This window comes from Homo sapiens, chromosome 5 (assembly GCF_000001405.40).
Source record: "Homo sapiens chromosome 5, GRCh38.p14 Primary Assembly".
Taxonomy (NCBI): Eukaryota; Metazoa; Chordata; class Mammalia; order Primates; family Hominidae; genus Homo; species Homo sapiens.
In genome coordinates this window covers 132,334,469-132,350,766 of record NC_000005.10, presented here as the reverse complement: position 1 = coordinate 132,350,766, position 16,298 = coordinate 132,334,469, and the positions used below count along the sequence as shown (strand labels likewise).

The 16,298-nt window shown below is 41.0% G+C and overlaps 1 protein-coding gene and 1 long non-coding RNA gene across 6 annotated transcripts in view, besides 1 other annotated feature; one reads left to right on the top strand and one right to left on the bottom strand.

The window, feature by feature from the left end:
• MIR3936HG (MIR3936 host gene) overlaps positions 1 to 16,298 on the top strand; it is a 58,641-nt gene that overhangs the window by 19,150 nt on the left and 23,193 nt on the right. Inside the window, exons 5-6 of the long non-coding RNA NR_110997.1 lie at positions 810 to 952; positions 15,841 to 15,982. This is a non-coding gene — a long non-coding RNA (MIR3936 host gene). The remainder of the gene's footprint in view (positions 1 to 809; positions 953 to 15,840; positions 15,983 to 16,298) is intronic.
• Positions 4,759 to 4,931: a silencer, noted in NCBI's record as "fragment chr5:131681529-131681701 (GRCh37/hg19 assembly coordinates)". NCBI's record gives its function as "represses an EF-1alpha promoter that drives an FKBP-Casp9 reporter gene in an ReSE screen in K562 erythroleukemia cells {active_cell/tissue: K562}" and the evidence as "EXISTENCE:reporter gene assay evidence [ECO:0000049][PMID:32094911]".
• The window catches only part of SLC22A4 (solute carrier family 22 member 4), a 49,797-nt gene continuing 40,075 nt past the window's right edge, over positions 6,577 to 16,298 (bottom strand). For 4 of the 5 annotated variants that reach the window (NM_003059.3, XM_006714675.5, XM_011543589.3 and 1 more), the window contains 4 exons: positions 15,835 to 16,049; positions 14,767 to 14,949; positions 10,067 to 10,202; positions 6,577 to 7,007 (listed from right to left, as the gene is read on the bottom strand). In NM_003059.3, the coding sequence (NP_003050.2) occupies positions 6,932 to 7,007; positions 10,067 to 10,202; positions 14,767 to 14,949; positions 15,835 to 16,049 (610 nt within the window). In that variant the 3' untranslated portion in view covers positions 6,577 to 6,931. Of the gene's footprint in view, positions 7,008 to 10,066; positions 10,203 to 14,766; positions 14,950 to 15,707; positions 16,050 to 16,298 lie in introns of those variants that run through there. The other variant, XM_047417594.1, reaches the window with a different exon arrangement.

The window sequence follows — 16,298 nt, the reverse complement described above, 5'->3', positions numbered from 1 at the left end:
TGTTATCATCCCTCTTTACAGATGAAGAAGCTGAGTTTTAGGGAAGACTGTAACTTGCTCAAAGTCACACAGCTGATAGAGAAGTGACACACCCAGCATCAGGTCCTGGAACACTTGTCTCCAAAGGCTATGTACTTAGCCCTATTTGCTTTAACTGGAGTATTAGTGGGCATTACAAAAATTGATGCATATGTACAAAGGATGGTAATTTTGTCCAGTATGTTTTTGTTAATACTTTTCCAACTTGAGTTAATTTTAAGATTTTCTGTTGTACAGAATTCTTTAAAAGTTTATAGTAAAATCTATTTATCTTCAATTTCCTATTCATCTTAAAATTAAATGTCACCTATATTTTCTTCTAGCTTTTGATTTATTTACTCTTGGCTCTATTTTATTTACATTTATTACATTTGGCTCTTTAGTTGATCAGGAATTAATTTGGTATGTGGTTTATGGTGGGATACTATTTATTCCCCCAGTTTTTCCATTTTTACCAGTTCTTCAGCTTGTCGATTGTCCCAGCACCAGTCTTCAACAATGTATCATTTTCTTGATAATTTATAATTCATCTTTATCATATGTTACAATTTTTCAACACTTGGGTCTGTTTCTGTGATACCTCTTCTATTTCGTTGATTGATTTATCTTTTGTGTGTGTGTCTGTGTGTGTGTGTGTGTGTTTGTGTGTTTTCCAGGAAACCCAGAGTAGTGTAGTCATTGTGTGTTTTTATATATGTAAGAGAACATTTCCCCTTATCAATGATCTTTTTCAAAAATTTCTTAAACATATTACATATTTCTTTTTTCAGATGCTCTTTACAAATATTTTTTAACTTCTTAAAATATCTCATTGAGGATTCCGTTCCAAGATGGCCAAATAGGAACAGCTCTGGTCTGCAGCTCCCAGTGTGATCGACGCAGAAGACGGATGATTTCTGCATTTCCAACTGAGGTACCTGGTTCATCTTACTAGGACTGGTTGGACAGTGGGTGCAGCCCACGGAGGGTGAGCCGAAGCAGGGCAGGGCATCGCCTCACCTGGGAAGCGCAAGGAGTCAGGGGATTTCCTTTTCCTAGCCAAGGGAAGCCGTGACAGATGGTACCTGGAAAAACGGGACACTCCTGCCCAAATACTGCGCTTTTCCAAAGTCTTAGCAAATGGCACACCAGGAGATTATATCCTGTGCCTGGCTCGACAGATCCTATGTCCATGGAGCCTTGCTCACTGCTAGTGCAACAGTCTGAGATTGACCTGCAAGGCAGCAACCTGGCATGGGGAGGGGCATCCGCCATTGCTGAGGCTTGAGTAGGTAAATAAAGTGGCTGTGGAAGCTCGAACTGGGTGGAGCCCACCACAGCTCAGCAAGGCTGACTGCCTCTGTAGTCTCCACCTCTGGGGCAGGGCATAGCTGAACAAAAAGCAGCAGAAACTTCTGCAGACTTAAACATCCCTGTCTGACAGCTCTGAAGAGAGCAGTGGTTCTCCCAGGATGGTGTTTTAGCTTGGAGAACAGACAGACTGCCTCCTCAAGTGGGTCCCTGACCCCCATGTAGCCTAACTGGGAGACACCTCCCAGTAGCCGACTGACACCTCATACAGGCAGGTGCCCCTCTGGGATGAAGCTTCCAGAGGAAGGATCACTCAGCAATATTTGCTGTTCTGCAATATTTGCTGTTCTGCAGCCTCTGATGGTGATACCCAGGCAAACAGGTCTGGAGTAGACCTCCAGCAAACTCCAACAGACCTGCAGCTGAGGGACCTCACTGGTAGAAGGAAAACTAACAAACAGAAAGAAATAGCATCAACATCAACAAAAAGGACATCCACACCAAAACCCCATCTGTAAGTTACCAACATCAAAGACCAAAGGTAGATAAAACCACAAAGATGGGGAGAAACCAGAGCAGAAAAGCTGAAAATTCTAAAAACCAGAGCACCTCTTCTCCTCCAAAGGATCACAACTCCTTGCCAGCAATGGAACAAAGCTGGGTGGAGAATGACTTTGACGAGCTGACAGAAGTGGACTTCAGAAGGTCAGTAATAATAAACTTCTCCCAGCTAAAGGAGGATGTTCTAACCCATCGCAAGGAAGCTAAAAACCTTGAAAATAGATTAGACGAATGGCTAACTAGAATAAACAGTGTAGAGAAGACCTTAAATGACCTGATGGAGCTGAAAACCATGGCACGAGAACTTTGTGACACATGCACAAGCTTCAATAGCCGATTCGATCAAGAAAGGATATCAGTGATTGAAGATCAAATTAATGAAATAACTCAAGAAGATTAGAGAAAAAAGAGTAAAAGGGAACGAACAAAGCCTCCAAGAAATATGGGACTATGTGAAAGACCAAATCTACGTTTGATTGGTGTACCTGAAAATGACAGGGAGAATGGAACCAAGTTGGAAAACACTCCTCAGGATATTATCAAGGAGAACTTCCCCAACTTAGCAAAGCAGGCCAACATTCAAATTCAGGATATACAGAGAATGCCACAAAGATACTCCTCAAGAAGAGCAAACCCAAGACACATAATTGGCAGATTCACCAAGGTTGAAATGAAGGAAAAAATGTTAAGCGCAGCCAGAGAGAAAGGTCGGGTTACGCACAAAGGGAAGCCCATCAGACTAACAGCGGATCTCTCGGCAGAAACCCTACAAGCCCGAAGAGAGTGGGGGCCAATATTCAACATTCTTAAAGAAAAGAATTTTCAACCCAGAATTTCATATCCAGCCAAACTAAGCTTCATAAGTGAAGAATAAAATCCTTTCCAGACAAGCAAATGCTGAGAGATTTTGTCACCACCAGGCCTGCCCTAAAAGAGCTCCTGAAGGAAGCACTAAACATGGAAAGGAAAAACCGGTACCAGCCACTGCAAAAATATGCCAAATTGTAAAGACCATCGATGCTATGAAGAAACTGCATGAACTAACAAGCAAAATAACCAGCTAACATCATAATGACAGGATCAAATTCACACATAACAATATTAACCTTAAATGTAAATGGGCTAAATGCCCCAATTAAAAGACACAGACTGGCAAATTGGATAAAGAGTCAAGACCCATCCGTGTCCTGTATTCAGGAGACCCATCTCACGTGCAGAGACACACATAGGCTCAAAATAAAGGGATGGAGGAAGATCTACCAAGCAAATGGAAAGCAGAAAAAAGCAGGGGTTGCAATCCTAGTCTCTGATTAAACAGACTTTAAACCAACAAAGATCAAACGGGACAAAGAAGGCCATTACATAATGGTAAAGGGATCAATTCAACAAGAAGAGCTAACTATCCTAAATATATATGCACCCAATACAGGAACACCCAGATTCATAAAACAAGTCCTTAGAGACCTACAAAGAAACTTAGACTCCCACACAATAATAATGGGAGACTTTAACACCCCACTGTCAATATTAGACAGATCAATGAGACAGAAGGTTAACAAGGATATCCAGGACTTGAACTCAGATCTGCACCAAGCAGACTTAATAGACATCTACAGACCTCTCCACCCCAAATGAAGAGAGTATACATTCTTCTCAGCACCACATCACACTTATTCCAAAATTGACCACATAGTTGGAAGTAAAGCACTCCTTAGCACATGTAAAGGAACAGAAATCACAACAAACTGTGTCTCAGACCACAGTGCAATCAAATTAGAACTCAGGATTAAGAAACTCACTCAAAACTGCACAACTGCATGGAAACTGAACAATCTGCTCCTGAATGACTACTGGGTAAATAACGAAATGAAGGCAGAAATAAAGACGTTCTTTGAAAACAATGAGAGCAAAGACACAACGTGCCAGAATCTCTGGAACACACTTAAAGCACGGTATATAGGGAAATTTATAGCACTAAATACCCACAAGAGAAAGCAGGAAAGATCAAAATCAACACCCTAACATCATAATTAAAAGAACTAGAGAAGCAAGAGCAAACAAATTCAAAAGCTAGCAGAAGGCAAGAAATAACTAAGATCAGAGCAGAACTGAAAGAGATAGAGACACAAAAACTTCAAAAAAATCAACGAATCCAGGAGCTCGTTTTTTGAAAAGATCAACAAAATTGATAGACTGTTAGCAAGACTAATAAAGAAGAAAAGAGAGAAGAATCAAATCGATGGTATAAAAAGTGATAAAGGGGATGTCACCACCAATCCCACAGAAATACAAACTACCATCAGAGAATACTATAAACACCTCTACACAAATAAACTAGAAAATCTAGAAGAAATGGATAAATTCCTGGACACATACAGCCTCCCAAGACTAAACCAGGAAGAAGTTGAATCTCTGATTAGACCAATAACAGGCTCTGAAATTGAGGCAGTAGTTAATAGCCCACCAACCAAAAACAGTCCAGGACCAGACAGATTCACAGCCAAATTCTACCAGAGGTACAGAGGAGCTGGTACCATTCTTTCTGAAACTATTCCTAGCAATAGAAAAGAGGGAATCCTCCCTAATTCATTTTATGAGGCCAGCATCATCCTGATACCAAAGCCTGGCAGAGACACAACAAAAAAAAGAGAGGCCGGGCGCGGTGGCTCACGCCTGTAATCCCAGCACTTTGGGAGGCCGAGGCGGGTGGATCATGAGGTCAGGAGATCGAGACCATCCTGGCTAACAAGGTGAAACCCCGTCTCTACTAAAAATACAAAAAAATTAGCCGGGCGCGGTGGCGGGCGCCTGTAGTCCCAGCTACTCGGGAGGCTGAGGCAGGAGAATGGCGTGAACCCGGGAAGCAGAGCTTGCAGTGAGCCGAGATTGCGCCACTGCAGTCCGCAGTCCGGCCTGGGCGACAGAGCGAGACTCCGTCTCAAAAAAAAAAAAAAAAAGAGAATTTTATACCAATATCCCTGATGAACATCGATGCAAAAATCCTCAATAAAATACTGGCAAACCGAATCCAGTAGCACATCAAAAAGCTTCTCCACCACGATCAAGTGGGCTTCATCCCTGGGATGCAAGGCTGTTTCAACATATGCAAATCAATAAACATAATCCATCACAGAAACAGAACCAATGACAAAAACCGCTTGATTATCTCAATAGATGCAGAAAAGGCCGTCGACAAAATTCAAAAGCCCTTCATGCTAAAAACTCTCAATAAACTAGGTATTGATAGAACGTTTCTCAAAATAATAAGAGCTATATATGACAAACCCACAGCCAATATCATGTGGAATGGGCTAAAGCTGTTGACCTGATAGATATGGGTTCAAGAGGACACAGCTGAATACTGTGCTTAGGAAAAGAACAGTTTCAAAGGCTTTCCAGATTGTCAGATTTGATGATATCCTCCTTGGTGCACACCTCTCTTGGCTATGGGGCACATAAACCACCTCTACCAATCTAACTGGTTTGTGCAGTTTTTCTGATTTTGTATCTACCGGCAAAATATATCTTAAGCCATTTTTAGGAAACAGGAGGTTTAGTCACGTGCTCAACAAAAGCACAACAAATGGGGAGCATTTAATGGTGTAAGGGCTGTGAGGTGTAGCTGCTGAAACTGTAGCTAGGAGCTGCCTTGCTGCCTTCTTGCAGGCAGATTGGCCAGATGAGCCAGGCTAAAATACAATTAATATCTACCATTGTGGTTTAATATGAAATATGGATACCTGGTCTTTGTCTCAGTTCTTGTCATAGAGTTCCCCAAACCTTTAGAACTTCCTGAGTGGTAGGAATATCTCATTAGTGATAATGAGCCCCTTTGATTCGATAACTCCTGAGTTTATGCTAATGAGGTTACTTAATGTGGGGCCCTAGATATTCTTAGGATGGGGCTAGTTCCCGGAAAGACCAGGTCATTTGAGGATTAGAGGGTTGGAACTTTTAGCTCTACCCACTGATCTCTGGGTGGGGAAGGTGCTGGAGATCAAGCTGCCTAAAAACTCTTGAACAACAAGATTTGAGGAGCTTCCAGTAAATGCGTCCACAAGCTGGGAGGGCACTGCACCCCAGTTTCACTGGGACAGAAGCTCTTGCACTTGGAATCTTTCCAGACCTAGCCCTTCATGCTGCTTCATCTGGCTGTTCATCTGTATCCTTTATAATAAATTGGCAAATGTAAAGGTTTAGCTGAATTTGGTGAGCCTTTCTAGAAAATTAATTGAACCTAAGAAGGGGTCTGTGGAAACCCTGGTTTGTAGTTGGTAGGTCAGAGGTGCGTGTGGCTTGGATGTTCGAATGGCATCTGAAGAGGGACAGAGCACACAACCTGTGGGATCTGACACTATCTCCCCGCAGATAGGGTCAGAGCTTAATTCTATTAGAGAACACCCCATTGGTATCTGCTGGAGAATTACTTGGTGTATGAGAAGCCCCCCACCACATCTGGTCACAGAAGTATTGTGGGTTGAGTGTGACAGTACAGGGTAAAAAGTGGTTTGTTTTTTCCTCTAACAGTGATCACTCCCTCTCAAAGGAGTGTGGAAGGTTTTCTGGATAGGAATACTGCATATAATCATTTGGTTCACTTCAGAAACTACTATAATTTTGACTGTGCTGGTTCACTTCCACATGTACAAACACACACACATACACACACATTGTTGTCACCTAATATTTGCGTTAATACAATGATGTTATTTTTATTTGGATAGTATTTGTATGATTGGAAATGAGTGTTAATCTTTATATGTATTTTACCAGTCCTTGACTAACATGTTTTCAAGACATCTTACCAATCCATTTCATTGAATTAATGAGTAAGGAGACTCTCTAGAAATGGTTGGTTTGTAAAGCAAGGACATTATCTGGAAGAATCATCCAGAGTTTACTGTATGACGAGCATTTCTTGATAGCAAGGTTCATTTTGGTGTCAATCGTTACAGTCAGTCCATTTCAGTGGGAACAACGAATTTCTCCACAGGGTCTTATTTTTCTGTTTTTCACTTCACCAAATGGGGTAGATATTTTTTCAGAATGCAGTTATTAGAACCTTGGGATTTTCTTCTGTCTCCATTGAGTCTCTTGTTTTTTTCCCAGATCTGAACCTGAAAATAAAATAGATGCTAAGGAAAATTAAATATTCAAGACTTTCCTCCTCAAAATGCTCCATCCAAATTGACATTGAAAAATATTTCTCCAATCAATGAACAAGTAACTATTTGAACTCTAATGAGAACCTCATGGTGTAGATCTAATATTTTATGCTTTTAAACATCTGAGGCTACTTTCTTAATTAAGCATAGAAGCCAGAATTTAAACTCTTTCACAGTTTTCCCAAGCAAAGGATAGAGAGGGAGGCATGAAATTCTTGGCAATTAAAGTTGATACTGAAGTAGTTCTATCATTAGAAGAAAACAACTTATCAACAATGGGCACTTTTTGCTATAAATGTTCTGTCAGGGATCAGAATTAATTCATATGCAGAGTTACCTTTATCAAGGCCAGGCACTGGGAACACTTTATCTTTTATAACCTCAAAATAGCCGTATGAAATATCCCATATAGCAGATGGGAATACTGAAGCTTAGTGAATATTAAGTGATATGCCCAAATTTTTGCAGTAGATTTGGGATTTAAAGCCAGGCAGTGTTACTCGAAACTCTAAACTTCTCCTAAATACCACTAATCTTTTAAATGTTTGCTGTGGTGTCATAAAAAGATACTGGTCTTTGTCCCTGGCTCCTAACATAGAGATCCTAAATCTCTTATAATTTCTGGAGTGATAGGGAGTGATAAAAGCTTCTTTTGTTCTAATGAGGCAACCCTTGGCTGGGCCCTTAGATAGCTTCAGGGTGGGGGCTGGTCACCAGAAGACTAAGCCTGGATTAGAAGCCTGGAACCTCTGGGGAGAGGAGAGAGGCTGGGGATAGACTTAATAATCCATCATGCCAACATGACTAAACCTCCATGAAAACCTCTAAATGATGGGGTTTGGAGAACTTCCGAGTTGGTGACCACATCCACATGCCAGGAGGGCAGTGCACCTTAACTCCGTAGGGACAGAACCTCTGCACTCAGGACCCTTCCAGACCTCTCTGTATGTACCTCTTCATCTGGCTGTTCATTTGTATCCTTTGTAAGAAACCGCTAGTGGCCAGTGTTCTGAGTGCTGTGAGTCATTCTAGCAAATAATCAAACCCAAGGAGGGGATTTGTTGGAACCCCAGACTTGGTAGCAAAGTCAGAGAGAAATGTGGGTAACCTGGGGACCTGACATTTGTGAGTGGCAAGTGAAGCAAGGCAGTATTGTGGGACTGAGTCTTTACACCTGTGGAGTCTGATGCTAAATTTAGGTATTGTCAAAATTGAACTGCATTATAGGACACTCAATAGGTGTCAGAATTGGTTTGCGTCAAGAAGAAAAACCCTTGCGCAATCTCATAAGCCAAAAAAAGATGTTGAATTGTTTTATTTTTGCATTTCCTTATTAATGTGGACAAATAACTTTTTTCATGTATATATTGGACACTGAAGTGACTTCTTCTGTAAACTGTCTGTTCTTGTCCTTTGCTGGTTTTCCTACTGAATTGTTTGTCTTTTTCTCACTGGTTACTATGAGCTTTTTGTATATTAAGTATATTAGCCTTATGTTTAGGTTTTGTGTAGCAAATATTTTCTCCTGGCTTATTGACTTTTGTCTTTGTGGGTGGTTTCTTTTTGCCTTGCCAATAATTTAAAAAATGTACAATCAGATATATCAATCTGTTCCTTTATGGTTCTTTGATTTTATGTTATGCTCAGTAAGATCTTCTCTAAGGTTATAAAAATGTTTGTTTCCTCCTGGTATATTTATGATTTTACATTTTTAGGCCTAAATTTTTTAACTGTCTGGATTTTATCTTGATGTGTTTTTTTTTTGGAGACGGAGTCTCGCTCTGTCACGCAGACTGGAGTGTAGTGGCGCGATTTCGGCTCACTGCAACATCCACCACCCTGGTTCAAGCGATTCTCCTGCCTCAGCCTCCCGCGAGCTGGGATTACAGGGGTGCGCCACCATGCCTGGCTAATTTTTGTATTTTTAGTAGAGATGGGGTTTCACCATGTTGGACAGACTGTTCTCGAACTCCTGACCTCAAGCAATCTGCCTGCCTCAATCTCCCTAAGTGCTGGGATTACAGGTGTGAGCCACCATGCCCAGCCAATGCATTTTTTAAAGAGACAACTTTTTAATTTATTCAAAATGTCTAGCTGAATGTTCTAATACCTTTTACTGAATAACTATTCCCCCTTGACTTTGCTACTTTTTATTACATACTGAATTTTTATATTTTCTTGGGTTTTATCCTGAACTCTATCCTATTCCATTGGTTTCTATTCCTATACCATTATCACATTGTTTTAATTACTATTGCTCAACAATATGCTTTATTACTATTATTATTATTTTTGAGACAGAGTCTAGCTCTGTTGCCCAGTCTGGAGTGCGGTGGCATGATGTTGGCTCACTGCAACCTCCACCTCCCGGGTTCAAGCAATTCTCCTACCTCAGCCTCCTGAGTAGCTGGGACTACAGGTGTGTGCCACCATGCCCAGCTAATTTTTGTATTTTTAGTAGAGACAGGGTTTCACCATGTTGGCCAGGATGGTCTCGATCTCTTGACCTCATGATCCGCCTGCCTCAGCCTCCCAAAGTGTTGGGATTACAGGCATGTGCCACCGCGCCTGGCCTATTATTTATTTATTTTTTTTGAGACGGAGTTTTGCTCTTGTTGCCCAGGCTGGAGTGCAGTGGTGTGATCTCAGCTCACTGCAACCTCTGCCTCCTGGGTCAAGCAGTTCTCCTGCCTCAGCCTCCTGAGTAGCTGGGATTACATGTGACTGCCACCACACCCAGCTAATTTTTTGTATTTTTAGTAAAGATGAGGTTTCACTATGTTGGCCAGGCTGGTCTCAAATTCCTGACCTCAGGTGATCCACCTGCCTCAGCCTCCCAAAGTGCTGGGATTACAGGCGTGAGCCACTGTGCCCAGCCAACAATATGCTTTATTATCTGATAGAGCTAGTCTCTACTTATTACTCTTCTATTTCAGAACCTTCCTAGCTATTCTTCCATGCTTATTCTCCCTAAGGCATTTTGGTATCATTTTGTTAAAAGTCCTACTTACCATTTCACTTTCTGCATCTGCTCTAAGGTTTCTGGAAGAGTCATTCCCAAACTTTCAGGGAAAAAAAGGGTGAGGATTCCAATCAGGACAGTCAGACTACCCATGACGATGTAGGGCAGCATTCTGTTGTAAGCACCTGTAAAGCCCGGGACATAAGAACATCAATCAGATAGGAGGACTCTCTGGGCACTCTTGAGCATCATTTTGTGAAGTTGGTGAACAGTATAAGAGAATGGATTTAAATCTGAACATTTTCAGAGAAAAAAAAGTAAGCAAAATATCAGTTTCTTTTTGGCAGATGACATTGTGCATGTCTATAATCCTTTTGCATTATCATAAGGCTTTTCATTCTTTCCTGTCAACTGGTATCCTCTAAGCTACTACTCAGTCATGTGTGACAGATGTTCCTTTGGTAGAGTTCTTTGCCTACCAGAGTTCTCCTCTTAAGGTGGAGGTAATTGGAAATGGGGGATGGGAGGACATCAAGGAGAAGGAGGTTAACCAGGATGTTTCAGGGATAGGTTTTGGCTATGATAGGTCTGGCATGACTCTGCTTTTGCCCAAACTAGTAGGCTGCAGTGGAAAGTTAGGTCCACAGGGCTATGAGACTCAAAAAAAAAAAAAAAAAAAAAAAAAACAACTAAGTATTATGTTCACTTCAGATTAAATCAGTAAATTATAAGTATCAGGCACATTCTGTAAAGGCACTGTGTGCCTGGATTTGGCTTCTTTTTGGAGCACTTACATGTCTTGGGTTAATATGTAATCTCTTTGTGAAGCTTTACTCACACAGGAGAAAAACAGATCCTCATCTTGCTTTGCCCCTGTATACATACAGAGCTTACAGAGGAACAGCACACCCATGGATTTCATTTGACCCAAAACATAAGGAAAATATTGTTATTGCAGCTTCTCTGAGGCCTCTGTGTCACTAACAGGAGTAGCTGTGTGGAGTAGGAGACTCTTGGACTCCCTGTCTTATGTACCAGTGTCTGACCACTGGACCATCTGAGCATAGTTTGAAATAGTTTGAAAGTACAGGGAAGGACAAAGGGAAAAATAACACCACTCTGTATAATCTGCTATCTCAGGTGTGGCACAGGGCAACTGTGCAGAATATGTTTGTTAGGAAAATGTTTCTCTTTCTCTGTAAGGGTTTGGATTATACCTTTCCTGAGAATTCATACATGTTTTCAGGTGTGTGTGTGTGTGTGTGTGTGTGTGTACGTGTGTACCAGTAGGTAACCAATTGCCCAATTGATGAGGTGTGTCTGCATTTCTCACCAGTAGAGTCCTTAATGAGGACCAGGCATGGGGTGTCAGATCCTACATCAGATTGAACATGCCGCTGAAACACCTCTGTAGTTTCATTTCAGATTGACACCTTTGAGTATATAAAAACTAAAATTGTCTTCATTACAAAGATATCATAAAGTGAAAATACAAATGGTAAACTAGGAAAAATATTTACAACATATATACAAGGGGCTAATTTCTTCCATTGCAAAGAGTTTGCACAAGTCAAAAAGAAAAAGATGAATACACCTGTTGCAGGAAGTTAGGGACCCCGAAAGGAGGGACTGGCTGAAGCCATGGCAGAAGAATGTGGATTGTGAAGATTTCATGGACATTTATTAGTTCCCCAAATTAATACTTTTATAATTTCTTACGCCTGTCTTTACTGCAATCTCTGAACATAAATTGTGAAGATTTCATGGACACTTATCACTTCCCCAATCAACACCCTTGTGATTTCCTATGCCTGTCTTTAATCTCTTAATCCCGTCATCTTCATAAGCTGAGGAGGATGTATGTCGCCTCAGGACCCTGTGATGATTGCGTTAACTGCACAAATTGTTTGTAGAGCATGTGTGTTTGAACAATACGAAATCTGGGCACCTTGAAAAAAGAACAGGATAACAGCAATGTTCAGGGAACAAGAGAGATAACCTTAAACTCTGACCGCTGGTGAGTCGGGCAGAACAGAGCCATATTTCTCTTCTTTCAAAAGTAAATGGGAGAAATATCGCTGAATTCTTTTTCTCAGCAAGGAACATCCCTGAGAAAGACAATTCGTCCCTGAGGGTAGGCCTCTAAAATGGCCACTTTGGGGGCAGCTGTCTTTTACGGTTGTAGCTGTAGGGATGAAATAAGCCCCAGTCTCCCGTAGCACTCCCAGGCTTGTTAGGATGAGGAAATTCCCACCTAATAAATTTTGGTCAGACCGGTTGTCTGCTCTCAAACCCTGTTTCCTGATAAGATGTTATCAATGACAATGCGTGCCCAAAACTTCATTAGCAATTTTAATTTTGCCCCGGTCCTGTGGTCCTGTGATCTCACCCTGCCTCCATTTGCCTTGTGATATTCTATTACCTTGTGAAGCACGTGATCTCTGTGACCTACACCCTATTCGTACACTCCCTCCCCTTTTGAAATCACTAATAAAAACTTGCTGGTTTTATGGCTCAGGGGGCATCATGGAACCTGCCAATATGTGATGTCTCCCCCGGACACCTAGCTTTAAAATTTCTCTCTTTTGTACTCTGTCCCTTTATTTCTCAGACCAGCTGGCACTTAGGGAAAATAGAAAAGAACCTATGTGAATTATCAGGGCTGAATTTTGCCCGATATACACCATTAAAGAATGGGCAAAGAAGGCCAGGCACAGTGGCTCATGTCTGTTATCCCAGCACTTTGGGAGGCCAAGGCAGGTGGATCACCTGAGGTCAGGGGTTTGAGACCAGCCTGACCAATATGATGAAACCCCATCTCTACTAAAAATACAAAAAAAAAAAAAATTAGCCGGACATGGTGGCATGCGCCTGTAGTCCCAGCAACTCAGGAGGTTGAGGCAGGAGAATTGATTGAACCCAGGCGGCGGAGGTTGCAGTGAGCTGAGATTGCGCCACTGTACTCCAGCCTGGGTGACAGAGTGAGACTCCATCTCCAAAAAAAAAAAAAGGGGCAAAGAACATGAGCAGTCAGTTCACTGAAAAATAAATAAAATGGCCAAAAAATACACAAAAACATGCTCAACCTCATTCATAATTAATAAATAGGAATGAAAGTAACAATGATATCCATTTTTCACATAACAGATAACCAATGATTAAAAAATTAGGTAGGCCAGGTGCTGTGGCTCAAACCTGTAATCCCAGCACTTTGGGAGGTTGAGGCGGGTGGATCACTTGAGCCCAGGAGTTCGAAACCAGCCTGGGCAAACTGGCAAAATCCCGTCTCTACCAGAAAAAAAAAAAAATTAGCTGGGCTTGACGGTGTGCATGCCTGTAGTTCCAGCTAGTTGGGAGTCTGAGGTGGGAGGATCTCTTGAGCCTGGGGGATTGAGGCTGCAGTGAGCTGGGAATCTAGGATCGCACCACTACACTCCAGAGTGAGACCCTGTCTCAGAAAAAAAAAAAAAAAAAAAAAAAGGTAATCTTTATTGTTGGTGAGATTATTGAAAACCACTCTTACCTATTAATAATTAGATTATAATTGGCACAATATGTAGAGTTCAATTTGGGAATATCTATGAAATTTTTTAATGGCTCTCTTTGCTCCAGGAATTTTACTTCTATGAATCTACCTGTAAATCCAAATATACGTAAGTAAATTCACAAAGGGTGTAGGAGCATAGGAGAATGTTCGTTGTAATGTTATTTGTAATAGCAAAAACCTGGAAATGACCTACATGTCCTCCATTCATTGGAGCCTGGTTAAATAAATTATGTGTTTCAGTATAAAAGTAAGATTTTCATTGTGAAAACTTCAAATGGCATGGAATGTACTGGAAAAAAGTACAAGTTCACCTCCCCTCTCCCAGGAGGATCCCTAGAAAACCAACATGAACTGTTTGGTGAGTAGCCCTACAGACATTTTGTTTTGCACAACATTATGTACACACACACATATATATATAATTTTTTAACGGCACTCTTTGCTCCAGGAATTTTACTTCTGTGAATCTATCTGTAGATTATACTTACATATACTTATTTTAAAATGTACTTATATACATTTTTAAAAGGAGGTACCTATTTAAAAAGAAGGTAAAGGAGCAATATGTAACTATTTGGAAGGATATTCTGATACAATGTTAAGTTTAAAAAGTTTTAACATATATAATGTTATTTGTGTGTTTATTCTTTTTATTTTTTATTATTTTTATTTATTTTTGAGACAGAGTTTTGCTCTTGTTGCCCAGGTTGGAGTGCAGTGGTGCAATCTTGACTCACTGCAGCCTCTGCCTCCTGGGTTCAAGCAATTCTCCTACCTCAGCCTCCAGAGTAGCCGGGATTACAGGCACCTGCCAGCACACCTGGCTAATTTTTTTATTTTTAGTAGAGACAGGGTTTCACCATGCTGGCCAGGCTGGTCTTGAACTCCTGGCCTCAGGTGATCCACCTACCTTGGCCTCCCAAAGTGCTGGGATTACATGCATGAGCCACCACGCCTGAGTTGCTTGTGTGTTTAAAAAATTATATACATACCTGTGTACATGATGTTGTGCAAAACAAAATGTCTGTAGCGCTACTCACCAGTTTGTGATTGGCTTTCTAGAGCTCCTCCTGGGAGAGGAGAGGTGAACTTGTACTTTTTTCCAGTACATTCTATGCTATTTGACATTTTCACAATGAAAATCTTACTTTTACATTGAAAACTAATTTAAAGGAAGAACAAATGCACAAGATGCAGCTCACCGAGGTAAACAAAGTAGGGGGCAATGATGCTGCCCACTCTGGAGGCCGTGGATGTGACCCCCACCGCCATGTTCCTGACCAGGGTTGGGTAGAGCTCAGCAGTGAAGACATACAGCATGGAGAAAGCAGAGGTGATCCCAAATTTTCCCAGCATGACCAGACCAATGGATAAGAAGTAATAATCTGGAAAAGAGACCCGGTATAAACAATGGTGCTTTTAGAAGTGATACTTTCTTATATCAGTTATTTTTATTGTCCTTTTTGCTTCAGTGGGAGTACTTTTATTAACATAAATATATTCCCAAAATAGCATTTTCTCTTCAAATGTCCTAATATTTGGGCATGGACAAAGATGGAGCTCATGTGAGGGGTGGCTTTGTACTTTGTTCTACTGTTATTCTAGGTCATTAATGCATTCAGTGACCTTTGTCCACTTGTCTTTTGTTTGTTAAAACAGTTTCATGGGTAAGCTATTAGCATGTTAATATAGTTAAGTTTTATCTTCAAAGAGGAGGACCAATCCTTTCTATCCTCTTTCTTATTATTAAGAAATATGTATTTCTATTACTATCAATAATTTAGTGACATTTTAATATTATGAGAACGTCAGACACAAGGGGAAAAGGGAAGCATATATCCTTTTGTGTGCTATTTAACTACTTAAAGATTCAGACCAGAAAACCACTGAATGTATCCTGGAACCGACATGTCCTACTCACTGTAATACTTGAATATACACCCAGGGAAAATGTTTGAGAGTAGCCAGAAATTAGGAATCATGACTATGAGTTAAAGGGAGATGTTAGGTGAGTCTTTCTGTGAAGGGGATGACTGGGAGAGTTACTCTTCCTCTTTGGTGCTTTCTGCTTCTCTGAGACTGTCTCTTCTGTTTGGGGTAGTTGTTTTGAACACAGGAAACAACATACGTAGTGAGCAATCACCTGTCTAATTGACTTATGAATGGCTTATGATGTAAAGGCTGAATAAACATGGAGCAGTGACTCAGAAGCAGCCTAGTCAATATGTGGGTCTTTTCTGGTAAGCTGTTCATCTTGGTTAACTTCTTACCCACAGGTACCAGTTGAATGAAGAGAAGCACACCTCCTCCCCAGAACAGTACTGCAGCTATGATATAACGCCTGGGCAGGGTTCGCAATAGCAGCCAGGCTGTAATGTAAGCTGGAATTTCAATCAAGGCAGAGAGGAAACAGTTCAGGTAGGCATCTCCATGTAAATTAGGAGCATCCAGAGACAGAGCAAAGTAACCCACTGAGGTCAGCATCCTGAAAGAAGAAGGTAAAAATGACAAAGGGATGGTGTGAATCGCTCTAAAATTTTATGATGGTCAAGAAATTCTCTATATCTTGCTGTCTTATAAGTAGCCACTACCCTCATTGGCTACTTAAATTTGAATAAATTAAAATTAAATAAGATTACAAATTCAGTTCCTTAGTTACACTAGCCACACTTCAAGTGCTCAATAGCCACGTGTAGCTAGTGGCTACTATATTGAACGACATAGATATGAAACA